The sequence below is a fragment of the Homo sapiens genome, chromosome 2, assembly GCF_000001405.40.
Source record: "Homo sapiens chromosome 2, GRCh38.p14 Primary Assembly".
Classification (NCBI taxonomy): Eukaryota; Metazoa; Chordata; class Mammalia; order Primates; family Hominidae; genus Homo; species Homo sapiens.
This window is the reverse complement of record NC_000002.12, coordinates 207,177,698-207,196,254: the sequence shown is the minus strand read 5'-3', so window position 1 is coordinate 207,196,254 and position 18,557 is coordinate 207,177,698. Positions and strand designations below refer to the sequence as shown.

The window sequence follows — 18,557 nt, the reverse complement described above, 5'->3', positions numbered from 1 at the left end:
AAATAACAGTGCTTTTGGGAAAAATAAGATTGAGACAGACTAATTAACACTGAGGCAACACTGCAAATACAGCATCAATAAAAACAATATTTTAATTAAATTCTAGTAGTTTAGAAATCAAAGTCATATTAATTTCTTACTAAATATATACTGTAGTACATAGAAAACTTAAAATGAAGGTAGCTTGATTAAAGGAATGTTTAAAAAATAACAGATTGTGTCTGCAGATTATTGAGACAAGGCCAAAATGCACAAAGATTGGGGGGAAACTGTAAATAATCACTTCTAAGACAGAACAGAATGAATAGGACAATACTGTATTCCCCTGTGGTTTGCTGCATTGAGCTGGGCTAATGTACTTTGCATCCAGCAGCCATTACTACAAGACACCAAACACTAATGTGCTGGCAAAAAAAACTGTGGGAACCAGTGTGTCATTTATGTTCTATTAACATCTTCCTCTTGTTTACCAATCATAGATGAGCTATTTCACATTTTAGAAACATGTTTAGAAGGCTGGGCACGGTGGCTCACGCCTGTAATCCCAGCACTTTGGGAGGCCTAGGCGGGTGGATCACCTAAGGTCAGGAGTTCGAGATTAGCCTGGCCAACATGGCGAAACCCTGTCTCTACTAAAAATACAAAAATTAGCTGGGTGTGGTGGCATGCACCTATAATCCCAGCTACTCAGGAGGCTGAGGCAGGAGAATGGCTTGAACCTGGGAGAGGGAGTCGGAGGCGGAGGTTGCAGTGAGCCAAAATTGCACCACTGCACTCCAGCATGGGCAATAAGAGCGAGACTCAGTCTCAAAAAAAAAAAAAAAAAATCCCAGGAGACTGGATTTACAAATTTTGAATAAAGAAGGTCTACAAATTATCCCTCTTTAATATTCAGAGGGTTTACACTGAAGCAGGCTCATACCTCTGAAGTATTTTTTAAAATTTTGAGTTGGTGTGTCCAAACATTTAAACATTCAGAAATGTTATTATGTGCTGCTCCTTATTCCTATGTGGCAGTAATTCAGTGACCTGGTAGTGGTTGTTTGCCTCCCATTCACATGGTCACTCTATTCATTTATGTTACTTGCATGGTCCTGGAGGTATCAGGATTGGCAAGACTGGTTATACTTTTCATTCTCCAGGGCTGGGCTCACATGTATATGTATTTTAAGTTGGTTGTTTGTAACTTAGGGAATGCCTGCATTTTATTTATATCCACTATTCTTTTGTGGCCTTCTTATTACCCCAAAATGCATAATCTTTAATTTAAAAGTGACCCAGATCCATACTAAACAGGTCACAGGTAAGTGAGATAAATGAATCCCAGGAATAGAAAAAGAAATAATGAGTTTTATGGGCAAATCAAACATTCCCTTCCTAATTATCACAGTTAGATGCTTAAGGAAGATCTGTTGATCACCTTTGGGTAGTGAGTATTTTAGTGCATTATTTTAAATTTAATTTTATGTGATTGCTGTGGTTCTCGTGGAAGAACAAGTGTATATAACATCAATGTAATTTTATTAGCTGCCTCCTACATAATTGTTTTAAAATAAGTTAATTCTTTATTGCTATACCTTGAGGTTTTATTATCATTAACATAAACAGGATATAAAACCTTTAATTTTTTATGTCACAGCTACCTAATTATTATTTTTACTATCAATCTTGTTATTGAGATAAAATCAGTACACATTTACATATTTGGCTTTTATTCCTCAAACAAGATGATGGATACCTCTCTGTATTAATCTAGAAAATAAAGCTGGTACTAGGCTACTCCCTGATGTAATCTTATGTCTAAAAAGTTTTGCTTTGGAATTTGGCATTTCTTCACATCTAATTTCCATAGTATGTAACCCCCTCAACCCATCCCCAGGAGAGTGAATAATTAAGAGCTCTGCTTCCGTGTTTGACCATGGAGGGGTTTGTATGATGTTTCAGAACAGAATATAAACCCTCATAGAGTATATATTCCTTAAGTTGAATTTGATGGATGTGTGTTCACTGCATCAGACTCACCCTGTCTTGTTCCAACAATGATTGACAGCCTCGATTGAAGACCAGTAAGTTAAAGGCAGATTGTTCAAAGAATGGCCACCATTCTCTATGAGGATGATAATGTTCTATAGAAGATATAAAATCCACAACCTTAGTTATGAATTTGTCAAACAAAGAGTGGAAATGGATAGATTATAAAAATATAAATGAATGAAATAGTAATGTAATAGGTGATTTTCTCCTTACGATTTGATTTTGTTAAAAGGTTATTGACAAGAATCATGAGCAATCATCTAGCATGAGGTAAGTTATTGAATTATAACTGAATTTTAAAAGTCATTGTTAATTTAATTTCCTACTGGACCTGGAAGCTCAACTTACTGTTCCTTTCAGCATTACTGCTAATTAGCTGTGTTTTCAAAGTCAGAAAAATTCAATGCATTTTTTCCCTATTCCCTGTATCACTCAAATGTTACGTAGATACTTTTTTAAAACAATAGATTTTAATCGTTGATTCTGTAGTCAGTCAAAGACCTTAAGATTTTCCACATCATTGTCTTTCTGACATCATCCCTAGTGTATTTCTATGGAAAAGGAAGTGTAATAGAAGATCAACTGTATTTCCCAGAAAAGAATATCTTTCACCTTCTAAGCGTCATCTACTGCTACATCTATTGCTGTTGCTGTCTCAAACTATTCTTTACAAATGTTTCTTTTCTTAGCTTTTATCTCTTGGTTCGTTAAGTAAATACAAAACTACTTTGCACAAATTTAAATTCTCCCAAATAGACACTTATTTTACATTTTAAAGCTCTCCATTGTAAAGATTTCTAACAAGGATTTCTATTTTCACCTTTGGTAAAGATGGAATATTCATGATTATGAGAAAAGTTATTGAATAGATACGTAAATTTTCTCTATTACCTGCAAACGTATTTTAAAATCACTTTTTAGGAATTTCCACTTAGGAAGGAAGTCTGTGAGTGTGCATGATATGCTGCTTGCTACTTCGAGCCTTCGTGGCTCCACAGACACAGCAGATATTGTCAGCGACAGTGAAGGAACAATAATAAGTCCACAGTCCTCCTTTCCCTCTTTGGAAAGAGCACTAGATTGGGAGTTAGGAGAGCTCTCCTGACCTTTACAATATAAATATATAGTCCTCCATCTCTTATCCAAATAGTGTGAGACCACTTAAGAATACTAAAACAATAATAAAGCCATAAAAAGAAGTCATAAGCCAGGACAAATGAAATGAGAACCAGAAATGTGCCAAGCCCAGGATCAACACAGTGGCTGTTGTTGAGCTTCAAGTAAGAATTACAAGGCTTATATTACTTTGGATATATACCCAGTAATAGGATTGCTGGGTGGAATGATATTTCTGTCTTTAGGTCTTTGAGGAATCACCACACCGTCTTCCACAATATTTGAACTAATTTACACTCCCACCAACAATGTATAAGCGTTCCTTTTTCTCTACAACCTCACCAGCATCTGTTATTTTTTAACTTTTTAATAATAGCCATTCTGACTGGTGTGAGATGATATCTCATTGTGGTTTTGATTTTCATTTCTCTAATGATCAGTGATGAGCTTTTTTGCATATGCGTGTTGGCTGCATATATGTCTTCTTTTGAGAAGTGTCTGTTCATGTCCTTTGCCACTTAGACACATGCATGCATATGTTCACTGCAGCACTATTCACAATAGCAAAGACATGGAGTCAACCCAAATGCCCATCAATGATAGACTGGATAAAGAAAATGTGAAATATATATACCATAGAATACTATGCAGCCATAAAAAATGAAATCATGTCCTTTTCAGGAACATAAATGGAGCTGGAGCCCATTACCCTTAGAAATTAATGCAGGAACAGAAAACCAAATACCACATGTTCTCACTTATAAGGGGGAGCTAAATGAAGAGAAGACATAGACACACATAGAGGGGAACAACAAACACTGAGGCTTGTTGGAGGGTGGAGGGTGGGAGGAGGAAGACAATCAGGAAAAATAACTAATGAATACTAGGCTTAATACCTGGGTGATGAAATAATCTGTACAACAACCCCCATGACACATGCTTACCTATGTAACAAACCTGCATATCCTGCACATGTACCCCTGAACTTAAAATAAAAGTTAAAAAAAAAAGCACAAGGTCAAGTCCAGTCTCTGTCCCTAACATGTTGGTGAATTTGAGTAAGACACTTCATTTCTCTGGGCTGTGATGTCTTCAGCTGGAAAGTTCAGGGACTGAATCACTAGATGATTTCTGAAATATCATCCAGCTTTAAAATCTCAAGTTCCTGTGACTTGGGACTTTTATAATTTATTCAGCTAAATATAAACATTGGTTTTAGGGCTGAGGTAGTGTCTTGAAAGTCTAACCAGTTATCTTGCAGATGGGGGTACCTTTGATCATGAAATAGACAGTGCAGGAGAGGTGGGGATGTGTAACCTGTCTCTACTTGACGGGAGTGTGGGAGGGACATCAAAGCTGGCCACATTTTCATTTCCATAGGGACAACATATGCAGTTAACCCCCAGAGAACTATATCTTCTGTTTTGCTCTGATCTACAAAGTCTTTCAACATTGCAGGCAAACAACTTTTCAGATTTATTTATTCATTCCTTTAGATGTAAATATCTGACTTTTTTTAAAAGGAAAATTACTTTATAGTTTTTGTACTCTCAACTGTCTCTCTCTATATATATATATTTACATGGCTAAGATACTTTGAATATGGAAGAGTAAAGGCAGGAAGTAAAAACAAAGCAAGCAAACAAAAACCACACTGTATCCCACAACCCAGACATAATCATTGACTGCCCAGAAAAAGCTGCTTTAAGAGAGATTAGATAACTAGAAATGTTTTTATTATACTAGGTAATGTCACACTGCTTTAAACAATAAGAGTGGATTTTAATTTAACTCAAACTTAATACAAAGAAAAATAAGTTGAAATAAAACAAAAGAAATTGCCTGGCTTAAAATAAGTGCTTGATTCCACGTATCTGTTGCCGGGAGAAGACGCTTGCCTTAATTTATCCTACATATTTGTCTTCACTTACAGTGACAAAGAGACTAAAATCTTTAATGTGCTCAGCTAATTCTCATCACCCTATTGTTTTCTTCCATTGTGATGTTTAATTGCAACATATGACCATACCTTAGAGTATAATTCCAGGTAAACTTGAGTATTTGGACCAATGATACCATGGCCATAGGGACTGCCAACAGAAAAGAAAAAAAGACCATATGTTTCTGCTTCATGTATGATCCACAGGGAGTTTCTAAAGAGATGATATTGTGGCCCTGAGTATAAGCAGTGCATGGCACATGCTCCTTTGCACACACAAGATTACTTACTTTTTAAAGCTGGAGAGGCAGGATGATCAAATACATGTGTTTGAGGAAGCCCAAGGATCTGCCTCCATTCCCACACCCTTTTTAATAATTCAGTGATTTCCAAAGCAGAATGATAACACAAGATAATCCACGAGAGGAAAATGAATTTTAAACTCATCCTTACAAAGTCACTATTTTTGGTGTATGCTTTTTAATGTCCATGCTGCATTATACAGTAGTACAAGTATACCATTTACAAAGAAATGAGTAAAGATGTACTTTGAGGGTGTGTGCATAAGATGTTCTTAGAGGGAAGAGTGCCCAGGCAAGACTGAGAACCCCTGCATTAAATGGTGATGCAGAGCCTGACGGGATTTTTCTCTGTGCCTTTGCCTTTCCGTTTGTAAACTGAAGCTCCTGTCCCCTCTCTTTCTGTTGCCTCCCTTCCAGGGAAGTTAGGAGATCCAGAGAAAACAGTGTTGCCCTAAAGAGCAAAAATTCCATAAACATTATGCATTAATTAGGATAATGTAATTCAGATTTTAAAAATGATTTTTTAGCACTTATTTTACTTCCTATGTTAATGGTCTCCATCTCCTTTGTTTAATTCATGTTTGTGGGCATACTCCCAAATATATATTCTAAATTAAATTAAGAAGCCAAAAAAAAAAAACCGTCTAAGAGGGGGCTTTTCACTACACACCTGACAGATTCATTTTAAATCCTCGTGTCTTAATATATGGCTGAAGGGACATAACATAAATGGGCTCTGAATTTCTCCCATGTAGCTCATTTACAAGAGTACCTTGGCTTGCTAAGAATTTGCCTCTTGTGGCCATTAGAACACTTATTAGAATATTTATTAGTTATTAACACAGAAAGTGTGTTTGCATGTGTGTGCATGCACTGAAAGGAATGAAGCTCTCTAGCTACTTATTGTTGGGGCTAATTTAGATTGCAACATGTTGCACCTGGATTAAAAAAGTAGCTAAATCCAAGAACGGATTTAGATGAGACTCAGGGGTAGAGGGCTGATCGGCTGACAAGGGCAGAAGTGGAGGGAGTCACATTGCCCGATGTACCTTGGGTTCCTGAGACTTAGAGATCCAATCATGTCATAAATCCAGGCAGCAGAGCTCTTTCTGCCTTACATTGCAGCTGCATTACTCTGCTGGGGCTGGCATAAGAAAGTACCACAGACTGGGTGGCTTCAACAACAGAATTGTATTAGTCTGAGTTCCAGGTGTTGGTGGGGTTGTTTTTTTCTGAGCCTTCTCTCTTTCTTGTAGATGGTCACCTTCTCCCTGTTTCTTCACATGATCTTCCCTCTGTGTGTGTGTATCCTAATCTCTTATTAGGACACCAGTCACGTTGAATTAGGGCCCACCCTAATAACCTCATTTTAACTTAGTTACCTCTTTTAAAACTCTATCCCCAAATATAGTCACATTCTGAGGCATTAGGGGGTTAGGACTTCGACATACAAATTTTGTTGTGGGGGGACATGAGTACAATTCAAGCCATAAATAGGGCATTCCCCAAGGTGATGAATGCACAGCCATCCTAACAGCATTTCAGCTAAGCGTCAGATAAATTCACATGGGACAGTAGCTTCCTTTGGCCTCGACTATCTTTGTACACTATTGTGAAATGCTTTATTGTGTAGCTGTTAAATAACATTTGTTGCTTTCCATGACAGAGGTGGCTATATTCCAGAAATGAATGAAGTGTTTCCTGTGCCTTTTCAGTAATGAAGGAAGGAGAGGGAAGAAAATTGGTGATACTAGTATTGTCAATTACCATTATAAGATATTCAGGAGTGCAAGTTTTAATCCCATTTGTAGGTCTCATTTACATGGAAAAAATTTGATTTATATAGTAACATAAATTTAGTTTATTTTCCTCCCGATTCAATCCCACCTGAAGGGACTTGAACTTGAACCCTTCAGCATATAGAGAAGAGGGTCAAAATACAATTGGTTTGCTAAGCTGTCACACAGATTCCCTTGCTAACATTTGCAGTATTTTTCTTGGCTGACCAAGCACTTTTCTTCCTGGAAAGTAAATAGAAAACAGCTGTCTATGAAATGGGTCAGAGCAAATATATTTGGTCAGGTGCTGGATAAATAGCTCACAGACTGACTAAAATAGTCCTAAACAAAACAAAACAAATCTCTAAGCCACACAGACCCAACCTGAAGGCTTTCAAAGGCAAAAAACAAACAAAACAAAAAATCTAATGTATTTGTGACTCATTCATATTTCTATTAAATGTGTGTTTCCTAAAGCTTTATTTTCACAATTAGAGCTCACCAAAGCACCAATCAACCAACCCAAAACTCTAAGCCTGGAAGAATTCTTATAAACTATGCTATTCCCTGGTGCCCTAAACCCCATGGTGGTCTAGAGACTCTGGAACCTTCAAAATCTCAGAGGACATAATTGAATGATTACTGCCTCAACAGACAGGAGGAAAGTATGACAGGTTGATAACCAAGTCTGATATTTCAGATAATAATCAGTATTCTTTTAATGACCAGAAAAGATTTGGAGGAAATATATGGAAAGAATGTATAGAGAAACAAAACATTCAACTTGCAAAAGAAGAAAAACAAAAAACAAAATCTATCACCTCCACCAAAAATGAAATAATTCTCCATTTGTGTTTCAAAGACAATGAGACATTTAATCCAGTAGATATCAACTTTTAAGGACCTTTGTTTTTTTCCCCCATTTTATTTTAATTGTATCGGTCCCTTAGCAAAACCCACTATCATTATAGATGACAACTGGGATCATAGAATTCTAGAGTTCAGTGGGAACTTGGAGATTTTCCTTCCTTCCATGATATTGCTGTATATTGGCTTTCCCTCCACCCCTACATAGTTCTTAGTCTTCTGGGCAGGCTCTTCTTTCCCTATCCATCCTTAGATATTGATAATTCAGTCCTTCATGTTCTCACTCTTCCCAGGTGATCTTACTCACTCCCATGGCTTCAGCTGCTATCCTTGTGCTGATGAATCCTCATGTTACCAAGCACAAGGGGCTCACTGCATGATACACTAGAAGCCAAAATTATGGTACCAGATTTGTGAGAAAAGAAAAGTTTTTACCACAGGTCAACCAATAAGGAGATAGGAGTCCAGCCTCAAATCTGTCTTCTTGTGCTGGTTTAAAGCAGTATGTTTAGTAGAAAAGGTCTAGGGGTGGATTCTAGGATTCATGAGTGATTTTTGGAAGGAAGGGGGACGTTTGGAAAGTCCTGGGGCATGTGCAGTTATCTCTTTATGCTACCTCGTGGGTTGCATGTGCAAATTTGGGGGGAGTTAGTATGAAACATGCAATGGAAATTTGGGCTGCAACATCAGCAAGCTTGTTCTGTGCACAGTACAGTTGGCCATATTGGTTTCAACCGAATTTCAGTCAGTTTTTAAAATTTCATAAATGGAAGAAGTTTCTGTGTTTCAACAAGTTGTTTCTTTTCTTATCTGCCATCCCTCAAACTCAAAAATTTCTGTCAGTTAGTTGGTTTCTTTAACTCTCCGGGGCATGGTTTCACCAATGCCTATCTTTCTTCTGAACTACAACCCATCAATCCAGCTCTTTACTGTCCATCTCTACCTTGACACTGTTGAACTAGTTTATATCCAAAACTGAACATCCCAAACTGACATTTTCATTCTTCCTAACTGTGGTAGCCAAGATGACACTTGTCTTGGTAGCCACTTCCTAACTGTGGTAGCCAAGATGACATCCCTGTCTCTTGGTATTTATGCCCTTGTGTACCCCTTCCTATATTAGATGGGGCTGATCAGTGTAACCAAAAGAACATTGTGGAAATGATGAAGCATGTCTTCTGAGGCTTGTTCATAAAGACATTGTGGCTTCTTTCTTGTTCTTTCTTGCAGCATTTGCTCTAGGGGAAGCCTGCAGCTATGTCATGAGGACCCTCAACAGCCCTGTGCAGAGGACTATGTGGCATGAAAGATACCTTCTGCCAACAACCAGCCCCAACTTGCCAAGCATGTGAACAAGCTAAACTGAAAGCAGATCTTCAGCCCCAATCAAGCCTTCAGATGACAGTAACCTCAGCCAATATACTGACTATAACCTCATAAAAGACCCTGAACCAGAACCCTCTAAGCCACTCTCAAACTCTACCCCACATAAACTGTGAAATAATATATGTTTATTGTTATTTTGGGCCACTAAGTTTAGGGGTAATTTGTTATGCAGCAATTATATAACCAATATTCCAACTAAAGCTGAAATGCCTCCTGCATTTCCTCCCTCAGTGGCCTACACTACAATCCAAGTTCAGGAAAAAACGAGAACCTTATTTAAGGTAGTGGCAAGAAATGAATGGATTAACTGGACATTTAAAAAGTATTTGATAGAACTTGGTGATAGGAGGTGGGGCAGTTAGGGACTAGCAGGAATTTAGGATGAGAGGCTCATTCAGTTGGGCTTATGTTTTACTGAGGTCAATTCCAAAAGGAAGGAAAGAAAAATCCAGCCAAATAACCTTTAATGGACTAAGTCTTCTTTCATAAGTCAGTTTGCACAACTTCTTCACAGGAATCAGATTTTAAATATCATAACTGAAGAGAAAAAAAACAGCAAGAGGAGTTTACCTTTATGGTGGAATGACACTAATCTTTCATGCTTTCAAATTTCTTGAAATTTCCTTCGTATGCATTATCTTATTTGCTGTTCACAGTAAAACTGTGTATTGGCTAAGCCAGTTTTTATGAAAATATAAGCAGTGAGAAAAAGTAAGATAGTATGTCAGTTAGTAGATTTTTTTATGGACATTGTGACAGAGGACACAACTTAAACTGGCTTTTTTTTTTTTTTTTTTTTTTTTGAGACAGAGTTTTGCTCTTGTTGCCCAGGCTGGAGTGCAATGGCACGATCTCGGCTCACTGCAACCTCCGCCCCCTGGGTTCAAGTGATTCTCCTGCCTCAGCCTCCCGAGTAGCTGGAAACACAGGTGCCTGCCACCGCGTCCGGCTAATTTTTTGTATTTTTAGTAGAGATGGAGTTTCACCATGTTGGCCAGGCTAGTCTCAAACTCCTGACCTCAGGTGATCCACCTGCCTCAGCCTCCCAAACTGCTGGGATTACAGGTGTGAGCCACCGCACCTGGCAAAAGGGTTTTGTTTCTAAAGGTACAAGAACAGGTACAGCTTCGGGTCAGTGTGATTCAGCCCTCAACAAAGCCACCAGGATCCATTTCTTGGCTCTGCTTCATTGCTTCTCATAGGCTGGCTCATTCTCAGACTGTACGTGATATGGTTCAGTGGCTTTAGGCTCCAAGCATGACAACACCCAACACTCAGATTGATGGAGCTAGAGCAAGTCTCTTCAGGCAGCGTCTAGGAAAGTTCTGAAATTCACTCTGATTGGCTGCCCATCTCTGAATCAACCACGTAACCCAAGGAAATAGGAACTGCTGATGGGTCAGGGTCGGTTCACATGCTTCATACCTGGAGCTGAGAAGACATCAACTCCATCCTGGAGCTCATGGGCTGTGACTAGAGCAGACGGAGTTCTCAGAGGAAAGTCAGAGTACAGTTATCAAAGCAAGCAGTTACAGATGCTAGATGACCAAAATCCAATAACTGCCCAGTAAAAATATTATACTAAAATCTAGGAACATGTGGCTGATGGACAGTCATTACCAGGAAAAAAAAGTTGTTAGGTCTAAATGTAAAAATTGAGGCAAAGAAAGTGCCCGAGCTAGAATTAGAACCCTGACTACCTGAATATTAGATCGGTTAGTGCCACTTCTACCCTACCGCTGCTGAGGGGGGAGGTGAACAGTCTCTCAGGTTGCAGACAGTGGATGGTTTCCCTCCCTCTATCTTCTCATTTCATGGTGGAGCTGAATCATCCTATGTTCTACATGCTGACAGTGGAAGGTTATGACCATACCCATATCCTGTTGTCTCTGAGTCTCCTGTGGTGCAGAGATCCCTGAGACTTGTAGAACAGAACCTGAGTGGAAAGTGGGAGGGGGATTGGGGGTGGTTCCCACGAATCAAGCAGCAACCTGGAGACAAGGAACACCTGCAACCTCAGCAGTGGATCAGAACGGCTGACTGAGCAATGGACATACTGTGCATCTTTCATTAGTGCTGAGACCAACTTCTAGCTTGGAGTCCCATGAAAGGGAAACTTAGCCCTAACACCACAACAAGGAGCACAGTGTCAAGTGGGGACATTGCAGCAGAGTTGCCGCAAAGACTCTGAAGTGCTATGGGAAGGGATATTTCCTAGGAGGGGTTAAAGGGATTCTCCTTAAGAAGGGGGCTGGGGGAATCTGAGTAAGAGGTGGGGGAAAGCAGCCAAAGCATGATACTTAGTCATAGCATCACAAGAATTTGACTCAGAGTTCCTACAAGGTTGTCCTAAAATGCCCTGGTTCAGGTGGGTCAGCTTTGAAAGCACCCAAATTACCCCGTTTTCTGTACTATGTTTAAAGGCAATTTGAAAGAAAGACCCCTAATTTGGAAACATGTGCTAAGGCTAAATCACTTTTTCAACTGAAAATTCTTTTTTATGTATTGTTACACTCCATTTTCTGTCTTGTGTTTTTTGTTGTTGTTGTTATTTGTTTCTTTTTTCTTTTTCTTTCTTTTTTTTTTTTTTTTGAGACAGAGTCTCGCTCTGTCCCCAGGCTAGAGTGTAGTGGCGCGATCTAGGCTCACTGCCACCTCTGCCTCCCAGGTTCAAGCAATTCTCTTGCCTCAGCCTCCTGAGTAGCTGGGATTATAGGCGCCCACCACCACACCCAGCGACTTTTTGTATTTTTAGTAGAGATGGGGTTTCGTCATGTTGGCCAGGCTGCTCTTGAACTCCTGACCTCAGGTGATCTGCCTCCCTCGGCCTCCCAAAGTGCTGGGATTACAGGCGTGAGCCACCGCACCCCAGCCCATTTCCTGAATTTCAGGGGGAGTGAATTAATTCTAATATAGAGAGTGGGTAAAAGGACCAATTTTTTCATTACTATTTGACTTCATATCATCTTGCTTTGCAATGCCCTGGTTTTTACATCTATAAATCAGAAATGATAAGCAACCTGCTTTATAGGAATGCAATGAAGATAAGGAGATACAATATAAAAATATACATTGAGTCAGAAAGACAGATAACACTATTTAAACCAGTGTATTCTTATAATCCTCATTATTACTAAGAATGATGTTAACAGTTATGATAAAAAGTCAACATGCAGAAAGAAGAGAATAAAGTAATTTCTAGTTTGGGCCAAGATGTACTCTGTAGACATGAATTTTTAAAAGATGAGTGGTTAACACTTAGCATTTGATTCTGTGCTTGTTATAAGTGAGCAACTGAGAATTTCTATCTTTTGGAGAGAGAGAGAGAGAGAGAGAGAGAGTGTGTGTGTGTGTGTGTGTGTGTGTGTGTGTGTGTGTGTTATACAGGGAACAAGCATTATTTTGCATTTGAGGTCAAAACTGGAGAAATCAGGGAGACGTCAAGTTTTGTTCATTAACTTTCATACCTTTCTAACAACAGCCCCCAGATTAAACCAATCTTCTACTGTCAAATTTGGGGACATTTTCTTTAGTGGATGGTCATAAATCTTGAGGGGAATATTGCTCACTTCTTTTAAGAATTAATGGTGATTCCTAGGTGGGAGTATGGAGTCATGTATCATACCCTGAAGCATTATGTTTTTCCCAGCAGAGATGCTCAATAGAAGTCTGGAAGCTTTTGCGGCTGCCAGCAATTTCATGGTTACTGTCCGAAGCAGAAAGGGCACATCATCAAATTCTTCCTTCTAATGCAATTTTGCCTTCCTGGAATTTGTACTATTTTTCTTACATGGATAGGGAATTTTTTTTGAGAGTGCACAGTCATGTTAAAGTAAATACCCTGGAGAAATACTTTCAATTAAAATTCAGAAGTTTTAAAATCCAGGCTAGAAAGGATTTCCCTGACCTACAAAACCTAATAAGATATTTTTTCTTTCCATTTTCTCCCTCCTCATTCCCCTAAGTGTGTGGAGCTGTCCTGCTTTCTTACCTGGTGGCCCCATTTAGCTTTGCCTTCTAGACATTTAAGTCAGAAAATGGCTTTAAAGAATGTTTTGAGAAAACTTGACATACTGATCTACTCTCAACTCAATGATTTTCTTTTTTTTGAGTGGAAAAGAGAAAGAAACCACAGAAGCAAAGCAATAATAAAATCTTTTAGTCAAGTAAGAAAAATTTGACCAGGAGATACAGAGATAGTATTTGTGGTGATTGAGGCAGTTAATACCAGAAAAGTTTAGAAAGCAGAGATTTTGAGGCCCGAAGGGAGGGGAGTCAAACAGGCAGCAAGTCGACGTGGAGCAAGATAGTCTTATGTTGGAGAGTGGCCCTCTCCTCTGTGGGGCCTGGGCCTGGCATTTCATCTCTCGGTTGGGCTATGAATGCCTAGGTTGCAGAATTTCTTAGTGAGTTTTGCACATTATATATGCAACACACCTATGCAATATGAGTACAGTGCCTCAAACCTAGGTACTCAGTTATTTAGAGTTACCATTGTAAAATATTAAATGCCTGGGTATGAAAGAATGAAAATCTCTTCCTCTCTCAATGTGTTCTCGGGATTATGGCTTTAAAAAATAGCTGTTCAACTAAAACTAATTAAAACTTCCAGGTTAGAACCTAGAAGCAGACATACAACGACTAAAATGAGTGCAAGAGGATAATGGTGTCCATTAGAGATTATTCTTACTCAGAGGCAGGGCTAGGACTAGGGAGAGGCAAGAGAAGCATCCAGGGTGAACACTTAAGAGGCACCCAGCTTCAGGGCCTGCAGGCACTAAGCCTGAGCTTGCACAACACTGAGAGTGCGACTCCATGCCCTACCCTAGGCCCTGTCCTGTTCAAAGGACATCCTACCTGGCTCATTGGCAGGATATCTTGCCCCGTCCCCAATGGTTTCTTTCACACTCGCAATACCTGGAGACAAAACAGCCACCATTGTCAGACTTCTTTGACTTTCCAAACAAACTCCAGAAAGATCATTACAGGACCCAGCATGAGAAGGGAAACCGAGGTGCATTGAAAGCAATAAAATTTAACCGCAGAGATGATTTCATGTTCAATCATCAAAATACACAGAGGGACTTGCTAAAATGTCCACCGTTGAGGGTAACAACCCATGACCTTATTCTTTCTCACACCAGCCTTAGTATATATAAATGCTAAGAATAGCAAACAGGATCTTTTTTATTGGCTTTTCAAGAACAACATTGGGGCCTGGAAGACACCAGTCACCTTCAAAAACAAGCAACAATAGGAAGCTTGAAGCTGTTGGTGCACAGCTTTCAACATACACACTTTTTAAAAAATAATTTCAACTTAAAAATTTTAGATTTAGGAGGTACATGTGTGGGTTTGTTACATGGGTATATTGCATGATGCTGAGGTTTGCGGTACGATTGATCCCATCACCCAGGTACTGAGCATAGTTGCCAATTGGTGGTTGTTTTTAACCCTTGTTCCACTCCCTTCCTCTCCATTCGAGTAGTCCCTACTGACTATTGTTGCCCTCTTTAGTCTATGAGCAGCCAATGTTTAGCTCCCCCTTATAAGTGAGAACATGTGGTATTTGGTTTTCTGTTCCTGCATTAACTTGCTTAGGATAGTGGCCTCCAGCAGCATCTATGTTGTTGTAAAAGACATGATTGCATTCTTTTTATGGCTGTATAGTATTTCACAGTGAACATATTTTTCTTAGACATTGTTTTCAAAACATTTCATTGCTTGATTTGCTCAACCCCATTCTCCATCTAAATCATTTGTAAACATAGCCTGATAATTACTTTGGATTAATTGGTATTATTTGATAAAATCATACAAAGCTAGATTTTTGAGAATGGTAATATGTTAGGAATGTGTTTGGCTATGAGTAACAGAAAACCCAACTACATGACTTTTAGCATAGGGGTTTATTTTTCTTATGTAACAAGATATCCAGACTCAGGCAGTTTCTGGTATAGGTTCAGTTCCTTAGTTCTCTGGGTCATTCTCTCATAATAATGACATGGCTGGGTAGCTCCAACTACTGAGGCAGTATATAAGGCAGAGAGAAGGAGGGGCAGTGGAAGGAAGGCACACCATGGTTGTCCCCTTTTACAAAGAAAGCAAAAGCTTCCCCAGCAACCCATACCAGCCCCCCTCATTATGGGTTGAGTGTTGTCCTCTCCAAAGCCAGATATGTTTTTCCCAACCTCCAGTACCTCTGAATCAGCATAGTTTTTGTTCTTTGTGAATCTGAACTTACTTGGAGATAGGTCTTTACAGAGGTAATCAAATTAAAAGGGTGACGGTCATTGGGGTGGACCCTAACCCAATATAAAAAAGGGAAATGTGGACACAGAGACATGCATACTAGGAGAGAACCATGTGAATGAGAAGCATGCATCTACAAGCCAGGGAGAGAGGCCTGGAGTAGATCCTTCCCTCAGAGCCAAGCTTACAAACATCTTGATTTCAGACTTCTAGCCTCCAGAACTATGGGACAATACATTGCCTTTCCAGAAGCCACCCAGGTTTTGGTACTTTGCAATGGCAGCCCCAGAAAACTAATGCATACCAGAAGACTTGTTTTCATACATTATTAGCCAGAACTGTGCCCCTGGCTTCCCTGACTACAAGGGAGGCCAGGCAAGTATATATTTAACTGAACATATTTCAATCAGAGCATTAGGATTCTGGTAGCAAAGAAAAAAAGTGGGGGAAGGGCGTAAATAATCAAGAGCATTTTCCACCAGGGAGAAAACGCTTGCACTTAATGAGTGGCCACAGGATGGGTAGCTCTCCCTCCAACACTAATCAGATTTGAAGTAACAGCATGTTGGGGATAAAGTTAGGCAGTAGAAAGAGTGCAAGGGGTTTGGGGACTAGCACTCACTTTGCCGCAACTTCCTACGTGGTTTCACACAAGTTGCTTTAACCTCCAAGCCTCAGCTTTTTTAATCTGATAAATGGGATTAATAATCTATGCTCTTAGCATTTTAATAGAGCTTTTTTTTTTTTTTTTTTTTTTTTTTCCAGACGGAGTCTCACTCTGTCACCAGGCTGGAGTGCAGTGGCACGATCTCGGCTCACTGCAACCTCCACCTCCTGGATTCAAGCAGTTCTCCTGCCTCAGCCTCCCGAGTAGCTGAGACTACAGGCACGCATCACCATACCCAGCTAATTTTTGTATTTTTAGTAGAGACGGGGTTTCATCATGTTAGCCACGACAGTCTCGATCTCTTGACCTCGTAATCCACCTGCCTTGGCCTCTCAAAGTGCTGGGATTACAGATGTGAGCCACCGTGCCCGGCCAATTTTTATTATTTTTGGTTTTTTTTTTTTTTTTTTTTTTTTTTTTTGAGATGGAGTCTCACTCTGTTGCCCAGGCTGGAGTGCAGTGGCACAGTCTTGGCTCACTGCAACCTCCGCCTCCCAGGTTCAAGTGATTCTCCTGCCTCAGCCTCATGAGTAGCTGGGACTATATGTGCCTGCCACCACGCCCAGCTAATTTTTGTATTTTTAGTAGAGATGGGGTTTCACCATATTGGCCAGGCTGGTCTCAAACTCCTGACGTTGTGATCCTCCCACCTTGGCTTCCAAAAGTGCTGGGATTACAGGAGGGCAGTTTTTAAAAGGGTTTATCATTCTAGTGTTGTCTATCTACACTGCCCTCTGAGATCTGATGGGGTAAAGCAAAGGATACCAACTAAGCTTGCAGGCTTTGGAGTCACCTCACCTGTTCCTATCACTTAGATGTTGTGTGGTCCAGGATCAGTTACTTAACATCTCTGTGCCACAGTTTTCTTATATGTGTATAATAGGTATATGATTAGTAGCTAAATGAGACAGTTGTGAGCATGAAATAATATATGTAAAGCATTCAGAACAGTGCCTGGCACATAGCAAACTTTATATATGTTAGCTGTTATTATCAGGCCTATCCAATTTATAAGTGATATGGAATCGAGAAGGATAGCAAATGTTTTAGACCATAAAATCAAGAATCTAAAAAAGATTTTGACAGAAAGGAAATGAGCCAAATATAAAAAGATGAAGTTTAATAAGTACACATAAAGGTCCTGTCTTGGGGTAAAATAGCAAGAATGAGGGAGGCCTATAGGTTTTTAGTTTATTATAAATTTAATATAAGTTAACCATGAGATGCACTTACAAAACAAAATTAGATTTAGGTTGCCTTGATAGAAACACAGTATTGGAAACAAAGGAAAATAGAACCCAACTCTGTCTCTGCACTGGTTGGACCACACTTGAAATAATAGATTTCCTTCTAGTATTCCTCACAGCAGCCCCTGAAAATTGATAATTGCCTTCACGTTCTTTAAGGGCTGGTATATGAAAAAGAAAAGAGATGTATTTTGGGGATGCTACAGAAGACAGAACATCCCCAATATGAATAAAGTAGAGGTCTGCTGGACTACAGCTCAGTCTTAGATGACTATGAGCCACCTGGAAATGGAATGGCCTCCTTCAGGTGGGTTGCATGGGGGCCCCTGCTCACCTAAATGCTTAAGCCATAGCTGGTGGGATAATTCGTGGTGAAGGATGTTGCCAAGCAGACCAACAAGTAGGCATCCCTACTGCTTTGAGGAAGGGGTAGGTACTCCCACAGAAGTCACATGTTGGTTGCCCATTGGCCAAATTTGGTCTGCTATTGTGTAGTTTTTGTTCTATGTGAAATATTTTTTTTTTCTTGTATATCTGGATTCCTTGTCAAAATTTAAAAATCAGGAGATTTCACACAAAAAAAATTCTTTTTCTTTTTTTTTGCTTTCTTTGAAAGATAAGATGATCTAGCAGCACATGGTGGATCTGTATTGTCACAGATGGCTGGAGTTGAGCAGTAGCCATCACCTTTAAATGGAATGTGCGTCCTCCAATTATCCAACATCCTCACCTGGCCCACCTTACTCATTGAGGTTACCTGTCTGGTCCATAAGCATTTGAGTTTGTGATTCACATGCCGGTCTCTAGGGGCTTCCCTTACCCTGAGGGTCTAGACATTTCCTTAGTTTTGTCCTGCAAACATTAGGAGAAATTAGTTAAATCTGTGGAAGTGTGGGTAAAATTCAGATACATGTAGAGACTGGGGATGTGTTACAGAATAACTGCAAGTTTTAGAAAACACTGACATAG

The 18,557-nt window shown here is 39.5% G+C and overlaps 1 long non-coding RNA gene across 1 annotated transcript in view; it reads left to right on the top strand.

Annotated features, from left to right (window-relative positions):
* MYOSLID-AS1 (MYOSLID antisense RNA 1) overlaps nt 1-9,565 on the top strand; it is a 67,627-nt gene extending 58,062 nt beyond the window's left edge. Inside the window, exon 4 of the long non-coding RNA NR_110283.1 lies at nt 9,267-9,565. This is a non-coding gene — a long non-coding RNA (MYOSLID antisense RNA 1). The remainder of the gene's footprint in view (nt 1-9,266) is intronic.